The following is a 24,240-nucleotide window of genomic DNA, read 5'->3' as shown; positions in this document are numbered from 1 at the left end:
CATCATTCTCAGCAAACTAACACAAATACAGAAAACCAAACACCACATGTCCTCACTCATAAGTGGGAGTTGAACAGTGAGAACACATGGACACAGGGAGGGTAACATCACACAAAGGGGCCTGTTTTGGTTTGGGGGTCTTGGGGAGTGATAACATTAGGAGAAATACCTAATGTAGATGACGGGTTGATGGGTGCAGCAAACCACCATGGCACATGCATACCTATGTAACAAAACTGCACATTCTGCACATGTACCCCAGAACTTAAAACATAATAAAAAAAGAAGGAAAAACCTGATGCTGCTCTTAATCTTGCAGCCCATCTCTTCTATGTCACTATTTCCTTTGTTTTCTAGCACAAAGCATGGTGGGTCACAGTGAGATCATCTAAGTCTATGCTACAGAATAAAAATCATTAGTTCACCACATAAAAATACGTAATGACATGTCCAAAACTTCTCTTTTCCTCTCACTCTCTGTATAATGTCTAGGGGGCTAATGACATCCATAGAACATAAATTTTAGTATTTTGCCTGCTTAAACTATGGGGTTGTTTTTTTAAAAAATATTTTAATATGCTCTTCTCTTTTGTACTTTTCTGCAGATGATCTCTTTCCAGTAGAATCAAGGCAGCCATCTGCAGGAAGGAGAAAAGAGAGATAAACAGAAAAAGAGCAATGAGAAATAAAAGCTTTAATAACAGAAACGCACAGAGAAAGAGCTTCAGCTGATGATATCTAAAATAAAATTTTAATTTCAAAATGTGTTTAAAAGCTATTTTCAAGTTTTAAAGTAGGTTTGAAATGAATACACTAAGAGAAAGAGAAGGTTTTATTAATTTTTCAATTTTCTCTCTTGGCTTTTTAAAAGACAGGCCTGCCCGCTTGGCCATATAACTTAATATAAGGGAGATCTTCATAGGAGGATTACGAATAAATCATCCCCTTCTCACACAAATGAATTGTGAGATGAAGGAGAAAGTGCAAGAGAAAGCAGGTATTCAGATGTGTCCTCTTCTTTCCTCTTTGGGCAAGATTAGAAATATTATATAAACTTCTCAGTTTATATACAGTAAGACATTTAAAAAATATTACACTCTGTAGGATCATTATACAAAACACTGAAATATAGGTTACATAGATGTTATTAGCCACCTAAACTATCTGGAGTTTCTATCCAGTGTCTTGCATACAAAGAAATGGAAGTATGCCAGTATTAAGATGGCCCCAACAAAGAAATCTTGGTAGGACTACATAGAAGTAAAGACCTGAGCTAATACCTCGGAGTTATTCTGAACTATTGCATAACATAGAAAGTACTCAGGGTTTCCTTTAACTTTTGGATAGGGACAGAAAACAGCTAAATTGATACTTAGACACCTACAAGTGGGCCTAAGTGGTGAGAATCAAAGTAACTCCACAACACAGATTATGGTGCAGCTATCATAGGCCAGGAGCAGAATGGAGACTTTGACATAGAAATGGAAAGGTCCACAGGACTAGCAAAAACTAAAATGAAACTTAGTTCAGCCAAGGAGAAACACTAAGTCCTGATCAAGCTAAGAGACCAGGTTATAAGTTATACTAGTGGCAGGATTCAATAACATAGGCTGAAGGAATGCCCAAGAATGACACCACTTGAGACTCAGCAGGACCTAGTCCACAAAGATTAGACCGGTGAATCCCGGCCAAATCTAAGGAAGATGCAAAGAATTTCAAAACAGAAGGGCCTGGCTACACTTGTACTAATAATCCTAGACTCCATCATGAAGGGGAAGGTCTGTCTCCAAGATCCCCGTCCCCCCGCCAAAAAAATAGTATTTACCAGATTCCACCAACCAGAAACAAAGTATACACCTATAAAAATGAATTAAATTATTGGAGTAGACAAAGCTTATATATTTGAATAAAATATAAGAGTTTTTAAAAAATTCAACACCCAGTAAAGGCAGGACCACATAATAAAATCATATCAGATCTAGAAATACAATTTTTAAATGACTCTGAATTTTGCTAGCATATGTGAATATAGTAAAATTAAATAAAATATGAAAATAAAAATACAATCAACAGAAACTTTTGGATTTCAGCAAAAGCAATGTTTGGAAGAAAATTTATGGCACTGAATGCATGCATTGGAAGAGAAGAAATATCTAAAATCAATAACCTAAGCTTCCACATAAGAAAACTAGAAAAAGAGGAGCAAATTAAATCCAAAGCAAGTAGAAGGAAATAACAGAAATTAGAGCATAAACCAATAAAAATTAAAAACAAAAATTAATACAGAAAATCAGCAAAACAACATTTTTTGTTTGGTTCTTTGAAAAATATAAACAAAATTGATAAATTTCTAGCCAGGCTAAGCAAGGAAAAAGAAGACACCAATTACTAATTTCTGAAATAAGGAATGGACCATCATTACTTATAGCATGCATATAGCAAGGATATAAAGAAATATTATGAGCATCTCTGAGCCCACAAATTTGATAACTTAGATAAAATGGACCAATTCCTGGACAGACAAAATCTATCAAAACTTACAGAAAGAAACAAAAATAAATTGAATGTTCTATATCTGTTAAAGAAATTGAATCAACAATCAGTAACCTTCCTAAACAAAAATCACCAGGTTCAGAAGGTTTCACCAGTGAATTCTACCAAATACTTAAGGAAGAAATAATACCAGTTCTCTAAAATCTCTTCCAAAAAAATACAAGTAAAGGAAACTTCCTAACTCATTCTATGAGACCAGCATTATTCTAACACTACAAGAAGACAAAGATATTGCAAGAAAGGAAAATTGCAGAGCATTAACTCTCATGAACACAAATACAAAAACTGTCAAATATTAACAAATCAAATCCAACGATATGTAAAGAGAATCATATACTACAAGTAAGTGGGATTTATTTCATGTATGCGAGGCTGGTTCAACATTTGAAAATCAATTACTGTAATCTACCTTAACAGGCTAGAGAAGAAAAATCCTATTATAATCTTATTAATACATGCAGAACATGTTCCCATATATAAGGAAACTCAATAATGTGTACATACAGACATGAAAAGTGGAATTATAGGCACTGGAGACTCAGAAAGGTGGGAGGAGGATGAAGGATGAGAAATTGCCTAACGGGTACAATTTACACTATCCAGGTGAGGGTTACACTAATAGCCTAGAGTGTAGCACTACACAGTATATTCATGTTAGAAAAAACTACACTTATAACCCATAAATCTATTTCAAAAATTTTAAATACTTGCAGAAAAAGCATTTTTTGATGGCCAACACCCATTCATGATTTTTTAAAGTCTTAGCAAAATAGAAATAGAGGGTAACTTCCTCAACTTGATAAGGAACATAGACAGATGCACACAAAAAAACTATGGCTAACAGCACAGTGGTAAGAAATTAGTTGTCTTCTTCCAAAGATAGGAACAAAACGAGTATGTCTTCTCTCACTAGTCTTACTAAACATCAGACTGGAAGTGCTAGTTAAACTCATGCTAAGGAAAAACAGATAAACTGAGTAGGACTATATTTATTGAGAGAAAAGGGGAATTACAAAGTTCTCCCCAAGATAATCAAGTCATGATTGAAGTGTTAAACATAGTCCAGGCATAAGAAAATCTTTTTATCTTTTTTTAAATTTTTTAATTTTTTTTTTTTTTTTTTTGAGACGGAGTCTCACTCTGTCACCCAGGCTGGAGGGCAGTGGGCAATCTCGGCTCACTGCAACCTCCGTCTCCCGGGTTCATACGATTCTCCTGCCTCAGCCTCCCAAGTAGCTAGGATTACAGGCGTGTGCCACCATGCCCGGCTAATTTTTTGTATTTTTAGGAGAGATGAGGTTTCACCACGTTAGCCAGAATGGTCTCCATTTCCTGACCTCGTGATCCAGTAATCCACCCGTGTCGGCCTCCAAAAGTGCTGGGATTACAAGCGTGAGCCACCGCGCCTTGCTTGATAACAGCTTTAGTGTATGGGCTTGGAGTCATCTTTAATTTCTCCTGCCCTCTCATGTGTAATCAGTCACAAAGTCCTGTCCATGCTTCCTCAGTGTGCCTCACTTCTCAGTTCTCACTGCGATGTTCCTCATCAAATCTCATGCAGACTTTTAGCTCAGTGGTTCACAACCATTGTTGCACAATACAATCATTGATTTAGTTCTGTGCCCTGAAATCAGTATTTTTTAAAGTTTGCAAGGTAATTTTAACATGAAGCCAAAGTTAAGAAACACTGTTCAAACTGACTTCTGTGCCTTTAGTCTCTATTTTCTTTAAGCCAACTTATCTTTCTAGAACACAAATTTTAAATATAATTATTCTGTTTACAACACTTCAGTTACTTTCCATAGCCAGAAAAAATTCAAATTCCTTAGGATTACATTTAAAGACCATCAAGCCTCTGAATCTAATCAACATTTTCAATTTAATGTACACAGGCTGGGGCTCTGTCAGACTGGAACATTCACCATTGCTGGAAGAGGCCATTCATTTTCATGCCTAGTCTATACCACTGATTCTCATATTTTGGTATGCATGTGTAAAATATGGAGAAGAACTTACTTAAAATGCAAAATCCAAGTCCATGTACAGTATCATGCCCAAAAATAGCCCAAAGAACCTTCCTCCTACAAAGCAACCAGATCCATGATAAAACCTAGTTTTCTATATATTGCAAGGTCACAGTATACATAAGGGAAATTACCAAGGCCATCCTTCTATGGGAGAAAAATCTGTTTGCTAAACTTGGATTGGGTTCAAATGAGAACTGAGGAGCTTTCTGAAGGTAAATGCCAATATTAGCATTTTTATCAGGAAAGTCTTGAGCAAGCCTTAAGGAAGCAGTACTGAACCCGGGGCTCTTGTATTAGCCAGAGGTTCTAGAGAAAAGTTTAAGTAGTTTCAGGCTGATACTTTCTTTGCATCAGGAAACAATCTTGATCTAACTTCAAGGAAGGGGACCTGAAACTTAAACTCTCATATTATAAAAGGACTCTAGGAAAAACCTGGAGTGGTCTCAGGTCAGTAATCTTCTCCTAAATAATGAAATGCTTATTTAATGAAGGAAAGAAGAGGTTGGTACAGTGGAGCCTTAGGTTTCAACAGTAGAGAGACATGAATACAATCTGCCCTAATAGAAGCTGAACACTCACGACATGTTGTGGTTTCATAGAGGTATCCAAGATTCTCACAAATTAAGATCAAACAAACATGAGCTCTCAATCAAAGATCCCCAGACATAAAACAAAAAACAAAACAAAAAAAAACACCACCAACAATAAAAAACAAGCCATCACGAGTGAGTCTGTAGAAAAAACAAATAACTGGTTTATTTCAAAATATTTCAGATATTGACATTATGAAAATCAAAATCTGAAATTTCTACAAATAAAATGTTTAAGAAAATAGAAGATGTAATTATAAAATTGCAGGGGAGTAATAAAAAATGAGCATAGATTTGAAAGGGGGCAAATTGAAATTTTAGAAATAAAAAAATATAATTTTGTAGTTAAAAACCCAAATATCATGTTTTATAGCATATTAGATAAAGCTAAAGTGACAATTAGTGAGTGCAAGGATAGATCACAAGAAATTATCTAAAATGCAGAAGAGAAAAATATGAATGAAAGATTTTAAATATGGATAGAATGAGACTACATCACATATCTAATTGGAATCCTAGAAAAAGAGAGAATGGATGAGAGGCAATTTGCAGAGATAACAGCTGAGACTTCTCAAAAATTTACAAAAAATATGAATCCACCATAAGTTCATCAACAGGTGTATGGATAAAAAAAATTTGTTACATTCACACAACTTATTTGTAGTGAAAATAAATGAACTACACAAATCAACATAAACAACTCCGAGTAACATAATGTTGAATTTTTATAAACAAATAGCAGATGATATACATAATTATTTCATTGTTATAAAGCTCAAGGCAGGAAAAACCAAATAGGGATATACACATTCTGATAAAACAACTTTTTTAACAAAAGGAAGAGGGGGGCTAGGTGCGGTGGCTCACACCTGTAATCCCAGCACTTTAGGAGGCTGAGGCAGGTGGATCACGAGGTCAAGAGATCGAGACCATCCTGGCCAACGTGGTGAAACCCCATCTCTACTAAAAATACAAAAATTAGCTGGGCATGATGGTGCACGCCTGTAGTCCCATCTACTCAGGAGGCTGAGGCAGGACAATCGCTTGTCTCAGGAGGCAGAGGTCGCAGTGAGCCAAGATCATGCCACTGCACTCCAGCCTGGCGACAGAGCGAGACTTCGTCTGAGAGAAAAAAAAAAAAGGAAGAGAGACTGGGGGCTCACAGAGGAAGATGGAAGCTGCTGCTGAGAGGGCTTGCAGGTGTGCCGTGAGCTGACACCATGAACTCAGAAAAAGACTTCACACTAATCACGCCCAACATCATCTGAGTCCTCATTGACAAGCTGTACGAAAGGAAGAAGGGAGCAGAACTGGACATCTAAAAGGTCGTCTGGGAGTTCCTAGCCCAGAACACAGGGCAGATCACCTCTGCCCCAGGAGTTTGCCCTGTCTTAGCATCCCCATAGCTAGAAGGGGCCCATTGGTTTGATCACCAGCTCTATGCCACTGAACAGAAACTCAGGGTTCTACATGAAGAAGTCGATTGATCTGATGCTGACCTGCTTCAATGACGTAGACAGTGGAATGCACTACTAAACTGGAGCTTAGTACATATATAACTCCATCAAGGTCGTCCCAGGCACCGTGCTGCCACACTCAGCATTCTCTCTGATGGGCTAAATTGGCTGCTAATCACACACAATATGAAAAGCAAATCCGAGCTCCTACACTTCCGTTTTTAAAGCACGTTGTGATTGAGAAAAACAAGTTTGACATAGTAGGCTCCAATCTTCTGTTGCCGGAGAGGATTTGGTCCAACAACCAGTAGGCCTGTCAGTTCATCATCACTTGGATGCTGGTTCTGGAGCCTGTACCAGATTTTAACCTGCTGGATTACCTACCAGAGATACTAGATGAACTCTTCCAAATTCTGGGAAATGAAGACAAAGAGATTCCAAAACTGTGTGAGGTGGTGTTTGGAGAATTCTTGAAAGAAATCAGAAAGAACCTCGTGTTAAGATGAGATGATCAGCATCCTGGTGATGCACTGCCAGATCGCAGGCAATCTGATCCAGCTGACAGCCATTGCTAAATGCAAGAGTTCATTTGACATTGGCAGTACCATGCTGCCCCACTCTTCTGGCATCCTGACTGCAATCTTGCCTGTTTGTCCTGCAATGAGCTCAAGAAAATCATCAAGGAGTGGCTAATGTGTGCCACCAGAACTTGATGAAGCTAGTCACTGCCAAACAGGATGGAGCTGGACAAGTCAAAGCGTTGCAGAGGCAGGCAGAACCCAACCCTGCTAATTCCCTAGCAAAACAGGAAGACACAGACAGTGGTGGTCCACACGATTCTTACGACCCTAGTTTCAGTAAAGGCATCTGTGTCTTCACTCCAGCCAGCACTGAAAGGGTCCCAGTGACACAGTGACTTCATCCCTTCACCACCACAGGGTTGGGCAAGTTCTGAATATCGCCTCTGTGACATGGCCATTGAGATAATGATCAAGATTGCCATTCTGAACTAGCTCTATTATTTCTACATCAAGACTTCCTGGAATATGCTCCAGTACATCGCAGCCTCTTCTCCACTCTGAGGTAGTAGGGGTTAGGACTTCAACATATGAAATTTTTGAGGGTACACAACTCAGCCCACAGTAAGTGACTGTGAACATGTTTGAAGGTGTGAATACATTTAATCAAATAGCCCCCATAAATTGTAAATAATAGTTCTATCCAGATCTGGAACAGGAATACAATTCTGAAATGTGGGGAGGCCTGAAATAAAGCAAAGTTACTCCTATAGTATTTTCATTTAAAGGAATGTGTAGAAGGTAATTCCAAGAAATGTCTCTACTTTGAAACTGGAGATAAGGTCTATACTGGGAACTTGTTATGGTCTATATTTGCATAGAGTGTATTTGAGGGCAAAATTTATTATACGTGTAATTTAGAAGGAAATCTTGCAGAAACACTGCCTAGTTTACACCTCTATTCTGAGGAACATAGAGGATAATCATATTATCCTAATGTTTATATTAATTTATCTTATATACATAACATACTTTATTAACATGTTATTGTTTTAACAGATGAAACACTTTGGATCAACTTCTCAAATGGTTTCTTCTGTCATATTTTGAAATGCTGCTTGCAATCAGGCAATAAATTGAAATACAACTTAAGAAAGGAAACACAGCTGAAAGCTACAGTAGCTTTAAGCTTCTGTTTGTTTCTAATATGAACTTCTAAATATTTGCTACATGTAGGTTTGGAAAATTCAAACCCACCTGCAAAGATTATTGTTTCCTTTGCCTGATGGTTCACAATCAAATTCCTACTGTTGACTTTTGGTTCAACTATTGCTACCAACCAAAACCTCTTTCCCATAAGCTAAACATTTTCTGTTCACCAAAATTCATTTATAAAACTTGCCCATAACACAATTCCTTTTTTTTAAACAAAAAAAAACAAAATGAAACAAACCAAAACAATGAAAAAACAAATTTGTTTCATCAAATATAATCCAACAAATCCCACCATTTAGGTACGTTTTAAGACCTGCAAGTAGAAATGTTTGCCCAGGTCTCATCTGCCTTTTCAAAAATGTAATACTTGTTAAAGTGAAGTAGCTGCCTGGCTTGCTTTTGTAAATTGAAACGTTTTCTTCTATTCAAAATATTTTATCTTAATGGAAATTATTATGATGCACCCACCATATGTAGTTCAATATTTTTGAAATGATGGAATACTGCATATTCTTCACAAATATTGTTAAACATTTGTACAACATCTTTGAGAGAAAAATCTGCCATATCTCTAAAGAAATATATAATATTTCTACTGTAATTCAAGAGGGGTTTGAATTGGATACAATAGATATATGCATACAGATATATGTTTAATATATTAGTAGCAGCTTTGTTTAATGCAAAAAGTTATTTGACACAAAATTGATGAACACTATTCAGCTATTTTAAAATTATAAATGACATAGCTGTATTTATTGTGACAAACATAAGTGTACAAGATATTGTGAAACAAGCAAAGCTTGTTGCAGAACTGTGTATAGAGAATGACACCATTTGTTCAAAATAGTATTAGGAGTGCTTGTTTCTGGGAAGCATGGTACTTTTAATTTATCTTTTGGAAATAGATTTGAGCACCTACTATTCTTACAGTATAAAATATATGTATTAGTCAATTCTCCCACTGCTATAAAGAAATACCTGGGACTGGGTAATTTACAAAGAAAAGAGGTTTAATTGGCTCATGGTTCTGCAGGCTATACAGGAAGCATAGCTGGAGAGGCCTCGGGAAACTTTCAATCATGGCAGAAGGCAAAGGGAAAACAGGTACATCTTACATGCCTGGAGCGGGAGGAAGAGAGAATGAAGGCGGCGGGTGCTACACACTTTTAAACAACCAGATCTCGTGAGAACTCACTATCACAAGAACATCAAGGGGAAAATCTGGCCCCATGATCCAGTCACCCCTCACTAGGCCCCTCCTCCAACACTGGAGATTAAAATTTGACATGAAAATTGGGCAGGGACACAAATCCAAACTATGTCAATATAGAAAGAGGTTTGGTTTGTTGTTCTGGAGATAGCCAGGCTGAAGGTGTAATGAATGGATGGTGGACAGACAAAAGGCCAGAATGGAAGGTGGGCAGAGAAGATAGAGAAAGAAAAAGTGGAATAAGAAGAAGAGGAGAGAAGAAGAGGAACAAAAAGCAGTGGAAGAGAAGAGTGAGAAAGTGAAGAACAACAACAACAAGAACAAGAATGAGAACAAGAAGAAAGGGCAAAAGAGAAGATAAAGAGTCCAAGTTAAGTAAAGGAAGATTCTGTTGGCATAGTGAGGTCTGCTAAATCTACCTATGTCCATCAGAATTGCACCATTTGATCTATTAAGATTTTCTTGGATAATGTAGACTTACACGAGAAATTACAAAAGTTGATTATTCAGTCTCTGAAAAGTTAAAGAACAAAAAATTAGATTCAAAAATGGCATGAGAAAATGTTTAGATTGATGTTTCCTCCCTCACGTCATGCTGGATTATGTTCATTATTCTGACTGTGGTGATAGTTTGTTGGATGCAGACCTATGTTAAAACTTCTTAAATCTGCCAGGAGTGGTGGCTCATGCCTGTAATCCCAGCACTTTGGGAAGCCAAGGCCGGCAGATCACGAGGTCAAGAGATCGAGACCATCCTGGCCAACATGGTCAAACTCCATCTCTACTAAAAACACAAAAATTAGCTGGTCATGGTGGTGGGCGTCTGTAGTCCCAGCTACTTGGGAGGCTGAGGCAGGAGAATCGCTTGAACTCAGGAGGCGGAGGTTGCAGTGAGCCGAGATTGTTCCACTGCACTCCACTCCAGCCTGACAGCGAGAGAGTGAGACTCCATCTAAAAAAAAAAATTAAAAAAATAAAATAAAATAAAAAACAAAAAAAAACAACTTTAAATCAAACACGGTAAATATGTGTCAATTGTTTATCAATTATAACTCAATAATGCTGGGAGGTTTTTGTTTTGTTTTGTTTTGTTTTGTTTTTTAATGTTATAAAAGCCAGCACGGAACTCCTGGGTTCAAGGAATCCTTCCACCTCCAGCTCCTGAGTAGCTGGAAATACAGTCAGTCACCAGCAAGCCTGGCTACTGAAGTTGTCTTTAAAATCCTCAAGGTCAGGCGGGGTGACTCACGCCTATGGTCTCAGCACTTTGGGAGTCCGAGGCAGGCAGATCATGAGGTCAGGAGATCGAGACCATCCTGGCTAACACAGTGAAAACCCGTTTCTACTAAAAATACAAAAAATTAGCCAGGCATGGTGGCACGTGCCTGTAGTCCCAGCTACTCGGGAGGCTGAGGCAGGAGAATCGCTTGAACCCAGGAGGCGGGGGTTGCAATGAGCCGAGATCATGCCATTGCACTCCAGCCTGGGGGACAGAGTGAGACTCTGTCTCAAAACAAAACAAAAACAAACAAACAAAAAACTAAAAAAAAAAAACTTTCTTTACCTGAATTGGGATATGTTGCATGGACTCTTGCAATGGCTTTCAATGGAATAAACAATGTCGATCAAATCTGTACCAGTATATATAGAAATGGTCACTGGTATTATAATATATGCAACAGATAAAAAAGAAAAAAATATACCTTGAGAAGCTAAGATTTTATTAGTTTTGGAACTACTCTGTCAAGATTTCTTATATCCTTTCTAGTATGAAGACAACACCTGAAGCAAGATCATATTCCTGGGGAACTTTATTCCAAACAGATTTCTTTGCCCAGTAGATCAGTGGTCCCCAAACTTTTCAGCACAGGGTGTAGGGGATGCTTTCATCCTCAGATCATCAGGCATTAGTTAGATTCTCATAAGGAGCACACATCCTAGATCCCTCGCATGCGCAGTTCACAATAGAGTTTGCACTCCTGTGAGAGTCTAATGTTGTCACTGATTTGACAGGAGGTAAAGCTCAGGTGGTAATGCCCACTTGCCCACCACTCACCTCCTGCTCTGTGGACTGGTTCCTAACAGACCACAGACCAGCACTACCAGTCCATGCCCAGGGGTTGGGGACCCCTTCTGTAGATCATAGACCCCACAGAGTGGTTGTTGCAATCATTAGAAAGCAAGACTTGATGAAAAAGATTAGTATTAAACAAACCTGTCCTGGATTAGCATCTGTAGAAATGAGAATTCTGAAATTTAGGAAAACCTGTCTCTATCCATGGTTATGGTGGAACTATCACCTCAGGTGGAACCTCTGATGCATGCCTTACAATTCTTGAAATCATGCAGAAAGGGGGTGATGAGACTAAACCAACTGCAAAAATTCCTCTGAAAATATCACCCTACAGTTGCTTGTCTGAAGATATATCAAGAAAAGAGAAGGATGCTTGAAGAAAATTGAACATGATGCTGGGACAAGATAAAAACCACACTGCTTCAGGATTCGAACATTTTAAACCCTGAAAAAATCCTTGAGTTCCACACCAATGATGAGGCATACAGTATTAAGAAGCTGCATAAAACCTTTGAAAGCTATCTGCTACTTGTTATCAACAGGCCAATCTGATCCCAGGGTTGAATCTCATGACTTTGGTATTCAAAATCTGTGACTGGAGTAACCTCATATGCTACACTATGTGTGTGTATGTGTGTGTGTGTGTGTACACACATACATATATATATATACACACACATACATATATATACACACACATACATATATATACATACATATATATATACACACACATACATATATATATACACACACATACATATATATATATATATACTAAAACTTCTACATTCCATTTTCCCCTCACCACATCAGCCCATTTCCTCATCATCACTACTATCCAGAATGGGATATTGGAATCTCTCCATCTCATCTGGGCTGTGGGGAACATCATGGGAAAAATGGGTCAACACATTAAAATATTTAAAGAAATTTGTTGGGCTTCTATCAACATTGTCACAGCAGAAGTTCCGGATGTCAGAGAGAAAATGGTCACCATCACAGTTTCACCTGTTTGAGGGTCAGAGGCATTATCTTTACAAAACTAAAACAACAGAATTTATTTAACCCTCCCTCCAATACTTCTGCTGAAGCAGAAATATTCTCAGGAACTCTCCTCATACCACAGCAATTGAGATTCCCAGAAGTACCAGCAAAACCAAATAGAAATGTAGTGTTTCTATGCTGACAGAATAAGATAAACTACTAGAACAGGGAATAAACCAAAGACCTTCCTAAGCAACAATCAGTTGGCCATGGGCATACAGGAACTTTAAAGAAGCCCTGAGAACACCACAGTAAGTTAAGAAGAGCAGAAAGAGAATCCAGCTAGTTTCACCAGATCAACACAGCATGAGGCAGAGGTCTGCCCAGCCACATGCCTCTCACCAGAGATTCTGAATGCTTCCAGCCATATGCACTACCATCCACAGAGTATACTACATAACTCTCATGACACTACCGTATTTAGTTGGACTGATATAAATGACCATGTTCAAAGCAAAGAAAAATTTACACTATTTTTGTTCTTATGTAAAACAGTCTCTGTGCATGTAAGTATTAAAGGAAGAAATATGTTTCAATGTGTGGTCTTAAGAATACATAAAGTATCCAAAGCATTAATACATTTCTAAATAGTAATTCCTATAATCTGAGTAACTTCAATTTTTAATCATTATTTTTTTCCTTTTAACATTTTAAATGATAAACATTTTATTTTGTTGTTTGTTCTCAAAATAGGTATTCTTTTTTTTTTCCAAGTTTTTTTTTTTTTTGAGACAGAGTCTTGAGCTATTGCCCAGGCTGTGGTACAGTGGCGCAATCTCGGCTCACTGCAAGCTCTGCCTCCTGGGTAAACGCCATTCTCTTGCCTCAGCCTCCCGAGTAGCTGGTACTACAGGTGCGCACCACCACGCCCGGCTAATTTTTTCTATTTTTAGTAGAGATGGGGTTTCACCATGTTAGCCAGGATGGTCTCAATCTCCTGACCTTGTGATCCGCCTGCCTCGGCCTCCCAAAGTGCTGGGATTACAGGCGTGAGCCACAGTGCCTGGCCGTTTTTTTTTTCTTTTTTTTTTTTTAATTATACTTTAAGTTCAAGGGTACAGGTACACAACATGCAGGTTTGTTACATAGGTATACATGTGCCATGTTGGTTTGCCGCACCGATCAACTCATCATTTACATTAGGTATTTCTCCTAATGCTACCACTCCCCCAGCCCCCCACCCCCCAACAGGCCCCAGTGTGTGATGTTCCACGCCCTGTGTTCAAGTGTTCTCTTTGTTCAATTCCCACCTATGAGTGAGAACATGCGATGTCTAGTTTTCTGTCCTTGTGGTAGTTTGCTCAGAATGATGGTTTCCAGCATCATCCATGTCCCTGCAAAGGGCATGAAATCATCCTTTTTTATGGCTGCATAGTATTCCATGGTGTATATGTGCCTCATTTTCTTAATCCAGTCTTCCATTGATGGACATTTGGGTTGGCTCCAAGTCTTTGCTCTTGTGAATAGTGATGCAATAAACATACAGGTGCATGTGTCTTTATAGTAGCATGATTTATAATCCTTTGGGTATATACCCAGTAATGGAATCACTGGATCAAATGGTATTTCTAGTTCTAGATCCTTGGGAAATCACCACACTGTCTTCCACAATGGTTGAACTAATTTACACTCCCATCAACAGTGTAAAAGTTTTCCTATTTCTCCACATCCTCTCCAGCATCTGTTTTTTCCTGACTTTGTAATGATTGCCATTCTAACTGGCATGAGATGGTATCTCATTGTGGTTTTGATTTGCATTTCTCTGATGACCAGTGATGATGAGCATTCTTCACGTGTCTGTTGGCTGCATAAATGTCTTCTTTCGAGAAGTGTCTGTTCATCTCCTTTGCCCACTTTTTGATGGGGTTGTTTTTTTTCTTGTAAATTTGCTTAAGATCTTTGTAGATTCCGGATATTAGCGCTTTGTCAGACGGGTAGATTGCAAAAAGTTTCTCCCATTCTGTAGGCTGCCTGTTCATACGGATGGTAGTTTCTTTTGCTATGCAGAAGCTCTTTGGTTTAATTAGATCCCTTTTGTCTATTTTGGCTTTTGTTGCCATTGCTTTTGGTGTTTTAGTCATGAAGTTTTTGCCCATGCCTATGTCCTGAATGGTATTGCCTAGGTTTTCTTCTAGGGTTTTTATGGTTTTAGGTCTAACATTTAAGTCTTTAATCCATCTTGAATTAATTTTTATATAAGGTGTAAAGAAGGGATCCAGTTTCAGGTTTCTACATATGGCTAGCTAGTTTTCCCAGCACCATTTATTAAATAGGGAATCCTTTCCCCATTTCCTGTTTTTGTCAGGTTTGTCAAAGATCAGGTGGTTGTAGACGTGTGGTGTTATTTCTGACGCCTCTGTTCTGTTCCATTGGTCTATACCTCTGTTTTGGTACCAGTACCATGCTGTTTTGACTAGTGTAGGCTTGTAGTACAGTTTGAAGTCAGCTAGTGTGATGCCTCCAGCTTTGTTCTTTGTGCTTAGGATTGTTTTGGCTATGCGGGCTCGTTTTTGGTTCCATATGAAATTTAAAGTAGTTTTTTCCAATTCTGTGAAGAAAGTCATTGGTATCTTGATGGGGAGAGCATTGAATCTATAAATTACCTTGGGCAGAATGGCCATTTTCATGATATTGATTCCTCCTATCCATGAGCATGGAATGTTCTTCCATTTGTTTGTGTCCTCTTTTATTTCATTGAGCAGTGGTTTGTAGTTCTCCTTGAAGAGGTCCTTCACATCCGTTGTAAGTTGTATTCCTAGGTATTTTATTTTCTTTGTAGCAATTGTGAATGGGAGTTCACTCATGATTTGGCTCTCTGTCTCTTCTTGGTTTATAGGAATGCTTGTGATTTTTGCACATTGATTTTGTATCCTGAGACTCTGCTCAAGTTGCTTATCAGCTTAAGGAGATTACAGGCTGAGACAATGAGATTTTCTAAATATACAATCATGTCATCTGCAAACAGGAACAATTTGACTTCCTCTTTTCCTAATTGAATACCGTTTATTTCTTTCTTTTGCCTGATTTCCTTGCCAGAACTTCCAACACTAAGTTGAATAGGAGTGGTGAGAGAGGGTGTCCTTGTCTTGTGCTGATTTTCAAAGGGAATGTTTCCAGTTTTTACCCATTCAGTATGATACTGGTTGTGGGTTTGTCATAAATAGCTCTTAATATTTTGAGATATGTTCCATTAATATCTAGTTTATTGAGAGTTTTTAGCATGAAGGGCTGTTGAATTTTGTCGAAGGCCTCTTCTGCATCTATTGAGATAATCATATGGTTTTTGTCATTGGTTCTGTTTGTGTGATGGATTACGTCTTTGATTTGCATAGGTTGAACCAGCCTTGCATCCCAGGGATGAGGATGACTTGATTGTGGTGGATAAGCTTTTTGATGTGCTGCTGGATTCGCTTTGCCAGTATTTTATTGAGCATTTTTGCATCAATGTTCTTCAGGGATATTGGTCTAGAATTATCTTTTTTTGTTGTGTCTCTGCCAGGCTTAGGTATCAGGATGATGCTGGCCTCATAAAATGAGTTAGGGAGGATTCCCTCTTTTTCTATTGATTGGAATAGTTTCAGAAGGAATGGTACCAGCTCCTCTTTGTACCTCTGGTAGAATTCGGCTGTGAATCTATCTGGTCCTGGACTTTCTTTTGGTTGGTAGGCTATCAATTATTGCCTCAATTTCAGAGTGTGTTATTGGTCTATTCAGAGATTCAACTTCTTCCTGGTTTAGTCTTGGGAGGGTGTATGTGTCGAGGAATTTATCCATGTCTTCTAGATTTTCTAGTTTATTTGTGTAGAGGTGTTTATAGTATTCTCTGATGGTAGTTTGTATTTATGTGGGGATCAGTGGTGATATCCCCTTTATCATTTTTTATTGAGTCTATTTGATTCTCTTTTCTTCTTTATTAGTCTTGCTAGCTGTCTATCACTTTTGTTGATCTTTTCAAAAAACTAGCTCCTGGATTAACTGAGTTTTTGAAGGGTTTTTTGTGTCCTCTATGCCCTTCAGTTCTGCTCTGATCTTAGTTATTTCTTGCCTTCTGCTAGCTTTTGAATTTGTTTACTCTTGCTTCTCTAGTTCTTTTAATTGTGATGTTAGGGTGTCGATTTTAGATCTTTCCTGCTTTCTCTTGTGGGCATTTAGTGCTATAAATTTCCCTCTACACACTGCTTTAAATGTGTCCCAGAGATTCTGGTACATTGTGTCTTTGTTCTCATTGGTTTCAAAGAACACCTTTATTTCTGCCTTCATTTCATTATTTACCCAGTAATCATTCAGGAGCAGGTTGTTCAGTTTCCATGTAGTTGTGCAGTTTTGAGTGAGTTTCTTAATCCTGGATTCTAACTTGATTGCACTGTGGTCCAGGAGAGAGTTTGTTGTGATTTCTGATCTTTTATATTTGCTGAGGAGTGCTTTACTTCCAACTATGTGGTCAATTTTAGAATAAGTGTGATGTGGTGCTGAGAAGAAAGTATATTCTGTTGATTTGGGGTGGAGAGTTCTGTAGATGTCTATTAGGTCCACTTGGTGCCAGGATGAGTTCAAGTCCTGCATATCCTTGTTAATCTTCTGTCTCATTGATCTGTCTAATATTGATAGTGGGGTGTGTTAAAGTCTCCCATTGTTATTGTGTGGGACTCTAAGTCTCTTTGTAGGTCTCTAAGGACTTGCTTTATGAATCTGGGTGCTCCTGTATTGGGTGCATATATATTTAGGATAGTTATCTCTTTTTGTTAAATTGATGCCTTTACCATTATGTAATGGCCTTGTCTCTTTTGATCTTTGTTGGTTTAAAGTCTGTTTTATCAGAGACTAGGATTGTAACCCTTGCTTTTTTTTTTGCTTTCCATTTCCTCGGTAGATCTTCCTCCATCCCTTTATTTTGAGCCTATGTGTGTCTCCGCACATGAGATGGGTCTCCTGAATACAGCACACTGATGGGTCTTGACTGTATCAAATTTGCCCGTCTGTGTCTTTTAATTGGGGCACTTAGCCCATTTACATTTAAGGTTAATACTGTTATGTGTGAATTTGATCCTGTCATTATGATGTTAGCTGGTTATTTTGCCCGTTAATTGATGCAGTTTCTTCCTAGCATCGATGGTCTTTACAATTCGGCATACTTTTGCAGTGGCTGGTACCGGTTGTTCCTTTCCACATTTAGCACTGCCTTCAGGAGCTCTTGTAAGGCAGGCCTAGTGGTGACAAAATCTCTCAGCATTTGCTTGTCTGTAAAGGATTTTATTTCTCCTTCACTTATGAAGCTTAGTGTGAATCGATATGAAATTCTGGTTTGAAAATTCTTTTCTTTAAGAATGTTGAATATTGGCTCCTACTCTCTTCTGGTTTATGGGGTTTCTGCCAAGAGATCCGCTGTTAGTCTGATGGGCTTCCCTTTGTGTTCAACCCGACCTTTCTCTCTGGCTGCCCTTAACATTTTTTCCTTCACTTCAACCTTGGTGAATATGACAATTATGTGTCTTGGGGTTGCTCTTCTCAAGGAGTATATTTGTGGTGTTCTCTGTATTTTCTGAATTTGAATGTTGGCCTGCCTTGCTAGGTTGGGGAAGTCCTCCTGGATAATATCCTGAAGAGTGTTTTCCAACTTGGTTCCATTCTCCCCATCACTTTCAGGTACGCCAATCAAACATAGATTTGGTCTTTTCACATAGTCTCATATTTCTTGGAGACTTTGTTCGTTTATTTTTACTCTTTTTTCTCTAAATGTCTCTTCTTGCTTTATTTCATTAATTTGATCTTAAATCACTGATATCCTTTCTTCCACTTGATCAAATCGGCTATTGAAGCCTGTGTATGCGTCATGAAGTTCTCCTGCCATGTCAGCTCCATCAGGTCATTTAAGGTCTTCTCTACACTGTTTATTCTAGTTAGCCATTCGTCTAACCTTTTTTCAAGGTTTTTAGCTTCCTTGTGATGGGTTAGAACACGCTCCTTTAGCTCAGAGAAGTTTCTTATTACCAACCTTCTGAAGTCTACTTCTGTCAACTCGTCAAAGTCATTCTCCGTCCAGCTTTGTTCTGTTGCTGGTAAGGAGCTGGGATCCTTTGGAGGAGAAGAGGCGCTCTGGTTTTTAGAACTGTCAGCTTTTCTTCTCTGGTTTCTCCCCACGTTTGTGGTTTTACCCACCTTCGGTCTTTGATGTTGGTGACCTACAGATGGGGTTTTGATGTTGATGTCCTTTTTGTTGATATTGATGCTATTCCTTTCTGTTTGTTAGTTTTCCTTCTAACAGTGAGGCCCCTCAGCTGCAGGTCTGTTAGAGTTTGCTGGAGGTCCACTCCAGACTCGGTTAGCGTGGGTGTCACCAGGGGAGGCTCAGTTGGAAATGCAGAAATCACCCGTCTTCTGTGTCGATCATGCTAGAAGCTGCAGATGGGAGCTCTTCCTATTCAGCCATCTTGGAACAGACCTCGATAAACACTTTAAATGTCAAGTTATTTGGGGGCAATCTAATGGTATGCAAAGAAACCTCAAAGAATTTACACATCATAAAATTTGACTAAATTAAAATTTTAATCATTATTATTTTCTTTAAACACTGAAGGATAAACGCTTTAATGGATAAAGTCATTTTGAGGTGGTTACATAGTATAGGAAAAAACTTCAAAGGCACCTATGAAAAAGTCTATGGTAGTGGGAAGGGGGTCTGGGATGGGGCTTTATTCAAGTGGATACTCATGGCAGTTCTGGATAGCCTGCACATGTCTACCAAAGGGATACCATCTCTTAGAAAAATAAACTCTCTCTCTTCATCTCTAACTCACATACCCTTTTTTTGCTTCATAGATTTCAAACTTGTTTTTGTTTATAATTGCCTGCTTCTCTATCTCTTCCTAACTCTTCTCTCTTCCTTTCTTCTCTGCCCATATTCTTCATATTCCCTCATCCTCCTGTCTACATGCACCCCAGGCAAAGCAGTATCTCATCACACAAATAAAAACACAAAAATTTGTTTTAGTCTGTTTTGAATTCAGGTAATTCAAAATCATGAATGAGTCCATGGCATTTGTCCTAAAATTTTGAAGAAGGAAACAAAAATGTATGAGGTAGGAAGTAAAAGGAGGCACATACTTAGAATATATTTTGTCTATATAAATTATTATATATAAGCTATCAATATCCACTAAAATGATTTCTTTCTGTAGAAAAAAGGGTAATAGAAAATTAATAAGACCTTGTGGTCTCAGAGTGCTAAATAAAAACAAACTAAAACAGAAGGAAGTTAGAAAGGGAAGAAGGAAAGAAGGGATGAAGGGAGGAAGGGAGGAAAGGAGGAAGGGAGGAAAGGAGGAAGGAAGGAAGGAAGGAAAGAAGGAAGGTTTGTTTTGTTTTGTTTTGTTTTTGACCTCAGAACATTACTCTTGTATTTATCATAGAGGTTTTGGAAGGCTGATGGCTGCAGCATTAAAAAGAATAAAAAGAAAACTTGAGGAAGAAAGACACCAATTGCCAACCTCAAGAAGGTGATGATCCTAATGGGCAACAATTGCTCTGAATTGTCTTCTAGTCAAGAACCTATATGACCTTCTGTATTAAACAGAGTTCTCGAGAGAAACAGGACCAACAGGATATATGTGTGGGTTTGTGTGTGTCTGTGTGTGTATGTGTGTAAGAGTATTATAAGGAATTGGTTCACACTATTACGGAGGCTAGTAAATCCGTAATATGCTATGTGGGCCATATTTCAGATTTTAAATTAAGAATTCTTAACCTGTATTGAGAAATACCATCAGGGCTTTTTGTTTCAAAGAATGAAGTTGCACTGATTTATGTCAACAGTACATACCACTGTACCAAACAGACTGTGGTATATTTCCTCTATTGCAAACAGAAACTTTTTCATTTGAAATTATTGCTTCTTGTTTTAGAAAAGTTATAAGTCAAAAGAAAAAAAGGAAAAATGGTTAGTGCCATGAATACTTTAAAAATAATTCAATAAAGGGGTTTTAAAATGAATTTATTTTTCTTTTTTTTAAATACTAGTGTTTATCTCATTCACCAACATGATCCATTTCCAACTTCAACTGAAGCAAATGAGATTGCCCTTTTCTTGACCTTCCTAATCCCATACACTCATGTGCCAAGTGGCTTATACGATCACCCAAGGAGAGTTCATGCACAAGCAATTTCCTCTCATTCCTAAATCAGATACTGATAATTCTGTGGTCATTTTAACTCACACAATAATGTTATTTTAATTTTATCAACACTTTTTCATACTAACCAAAATATTTCTTTACTCTAATTGGAGTTTCAATCTAGAAATCTGAGGCTTTCAAAGCAAAGTCCCTACCAGAATTAGTACCAGGTAAATTCCTTAACTTATGCTCTGTGTTTTCATCCTCTGTATTCTTGATTCTGACATTGAACAGACTCTAAATAATTTGTTTTTAGTTTATCAGTTTTATTAAAGTTTATCTATTTCAGTGGCCTATTCAAATTCTCACAATCGGCCAGATGCGGTGGCCCCTGCCTGTAATCCCAGCACTTTGGGAGGCCAAGATGGATGGATCACATGAGGCCAGGAGTTTGAAACCAGCCTGACCAACATGGTGAAACCCCGTCTCTACTAAAAATACCAAAAAATTAGACGGGTGTCGTGGTACACACCTGTAATCCCAGCTAATAGGGAGGGTGAGGCATGAGACTCACTTGAACGCAGGAGGCAGAGGTTGCATTGAGCTGAGATCATGCCACCGCACTCCAGTCTGGGTGACGGAGTGAGACTGAAAAAAAAAAAAAAAAAAAAAACCTCACCATCTTCCTAGAAAGACAATAATAACATTTATATTTTATTATGTTTTAAAATCTGAGTACACATATATGAGTATAATCATATTACAGATATTAAAATGTAGAAGTGTTCTAAACTTCATATATACAATTGTGCATGCTATTATATTGTAACACACATTATTCACTATAGTACCACATAGTTCAATTTTATCTACAGAAATACATTTAGGTCACTACAAGGCTGCTACTCAAAGTAGCATATTTCAAACATCAGGATTGAATAATTTTTCTACATATTCATCAATTGCTCAAAATCATACCATATTGTATTTTGCTGCATATTTATGTGCCCAGAATTGGTTCCTTCCAGTGGGTTCTTGGTCTCACTGACTTTAAGAATGAAGTCGGGGACCCTCGCAGTGAGTGTTACAGTTCTTAAAGATGGTGTGTCCAGAGTTTGTTTCTTCAGATTTCAGATGTGTCCGGAGTTTCTTCCTTCTGGTGGGTTCGTGGTCTCGCTGACTTCAGGAGTGAAGCCACAGACCTTCACAGTGAGTGTTACAGCTCTTAAAGGTTGTGCTTCTGGAGTTGTTTGTTCCTCCCAGTGGGTTCGTGGTCTCGCTGACCTCAGGAGTGAAGCCGCAGACCCTCATGGTGAGCGATACAGCTCATAAAGGTAATGTAGACCCAAAGAGTAAGCAGCAGCAAGATTTATTGTGAAGGGCAAAAGAATAAAGCTTCCACAGGGTGGAAGGGGACCCAAGCAGGTTGCCACTGGCTGGCTCTGGTGGCCAGCTTTTATTCCCTTATTGGCTCCGCCCACATCCTGCTGATTGGTCCATTTTACAGAGCGCTGACTGGTCCATTTTACAGAGTGCTGATTGGTGCGTTTTTACTGAGTGCTGATTGATGTGTCTACAAACCTTTAGCTAGACACAGAACGCTGATTGATGCGTTTTTACAGAGTGCTGATTGGTGCATCTACAAACCTTTAGCTAGACACAGAGCACTGATTGGTGCATTCTAACAGATTGCTGATTGGTGCATTTACAAACCTTTAGCTAGACACAGAATTTTTACAGAGTGCTGATTGGTGCATTTGCGATCCTTTAGCTAGACACAGAGCACTGATTGGTGTGTTTACAATCCTTTAGCTAGACAGAAAAGTTCTCCAAGTCCCCATCCAATCCAGGAAGTCCCACTGGCTTCACCTCTCATTTAGACAATTACTTCCTACAGAGCATTTTGTATTTTCTGACGTTTCCTGAAGTTTCCAATTCATTTTCTTTTTTTTAATTGTCAAAAGAAATATGTGTCTTCACATTATTACTAAAATCATCCAGAGTTTTGCACTCATATTATTTGGTATAGTACATCTTTTTGAAAATGTACTTCTCATATCAATCTGACTACCAGTCTAATTTGGACTGATTGTAAATTTAATACATAGTTGTCAAACTTCGTGGCCTTTTTTCATTACATTTCTGGAATAGGTCTGTTGCTTCTTTCATATTTTTATCTTTCTCTTTCTTTCATTCTTTTTTTTGTTTTGCTGGAGTAAATCCTCAAGTAACTCCACCAACCCAAAGTCTGTATAGCATTAAGCTTTTAGTCTGTTGCAAAATACAATTATTTTTGCCATGTGGTAAAAAGTTTGGCTTTACTCCCTTGCCATATGCCTTTGCAAACAGGAAAAACATACACGTTATGTAAATCACGGATCAAATTGCAAGTTATTCATTATCTTAGAGGTGGCTTATAAGCACCTATTCCAAGTGGCAGGACAAGTAATGGCCCAAGGAAGATATCATGCCCCAATCTCCAGAACCTGTGAAAATGTTAATTTACATGCAAAAGAAATTTTTTTCAGATGTAATTAAGGTTACAGACTTCGACAGAGAGATTATCCTAAATTACTCCAGTAGGTCAAATCTAATCACATGAGTCCTTAAAAGTAAAGAACTTACTCTGGCTAAAGTCAGAGGAGATGCAGCAGGACAAATCAGAATATGAAGATGGAGAAGGAAACATGACAAGGAATGCTGGTAGCCTTAAGAAGACACTTCCTGCTGATAGCCAGCAAGGAAACAGTACTTCATTACTAGAAACACAAAGAACTGAATTCTGCCAACATCCCAAATGAGCTTGGAATTTGATTCTTAGTGGAAAGAGTCTCCAGCTAAGAACCCAGAGTGACTTCTACCTTGATTTCGGCTTTGTGAAATCAAAGAAATTGGTTGAGCCCACCAGACCTCTGACCTATGGAACTGTGAGGTGATAAATGTATACTGTTTTAATCCATTAAATTTGTGGTAATTTGTTATGGCAATGATCGAAAACCAATAGAGCAAGGCTTGCTCAGAAGATTCTTTGGTAACTTCAAGGATCTAGAGCAGAAGCAAAGAATTTACAACAATAATAACAACAACATAATGGCTAGGAAAGTGGAAGATAATTCACAAGAAGATACATTAATTCTGTCAATTAGCACTTTTCTCTTTAAGGGTTTGTTGCAAGTTGTCTCTAGAAAGAGATGGAGATTAGTGGCTGGGTGCGGGGGCTCACATCTGTAATCCCAGCACTTTGGGAGGCTGAGGGGGGCGGATCACGAGGTCAAGAGACCGAGACCATCCTGGCTAACACAGTGAAACCCCGTCTCTATTAAAAATACAAAAAAATTAGCTGGGCATGGTGGCAGGCACCTGTAGTCCCAGCTATTCGGGAGGCTGAGGCAGGAGAATGGTGTGAACCCGGGAGGTGGAGCTTGCATTGAGCTGAGA

At 38.3% G+C, this 24,240-nt stretch overlaps 1 long non-coding RNA gene and 1 pseudogene across 11 annotated transcripts in view; one reads left to right on the top strand and one right to left on the bottom strand.

Annotated features, from left to right (window-relative positions):
* The window catches only part of LINC02327 (long intergenic non-protein coding RNA 2327), a 138,162-nt gene that overhangs the window by 103,305 nt on the left and 10,617 nt on the right, over positions 1 to 24,240 (bottom strand). For 2 of the 11 annotated variants that reach the window (NR_184196.1, NR_184192.1), the window contains one exon: positions 21,504 to 23,288. The exons of 7 other annotated variants lie outside the window; for them this stretch is intronic. This is a non-coding gene — a long non-coding RNA (long intergenic non-protein coding RNA 2327). Of the gene's footprint in view, positions 1 to 21,503; positions 23,289 to 24,240 lie in introns of those variants that run through there. 2 more of the 11 variants (NR_184197.1, NR_184193.1) reach the window with 1 other exon arrangement.
* Positions 6,391 to 7,708, top strand: LOC100420424 (Vac14, PIKFYVE complex component pseudogene; annotated as a pseudogene).

This window comes from Homo sapiens, chromosome 14 (assembly GCF_000001405.40).
Source record: "Homo sapiens chromosome 14, GRCh38.p14 Primary Assembly".
In the NCBI taxonomy this organism is placed as follows: domain Eukaryota; kingdom Metazoa; phylum Chordata; class Mammalia; order Primates; family Hominidae; genus Homo; species Homo sapiens.
Note: the sequence above shows the minus strand (reverse complement) of the source record. Positions and strands in the feature narration are given on the sequence as shown.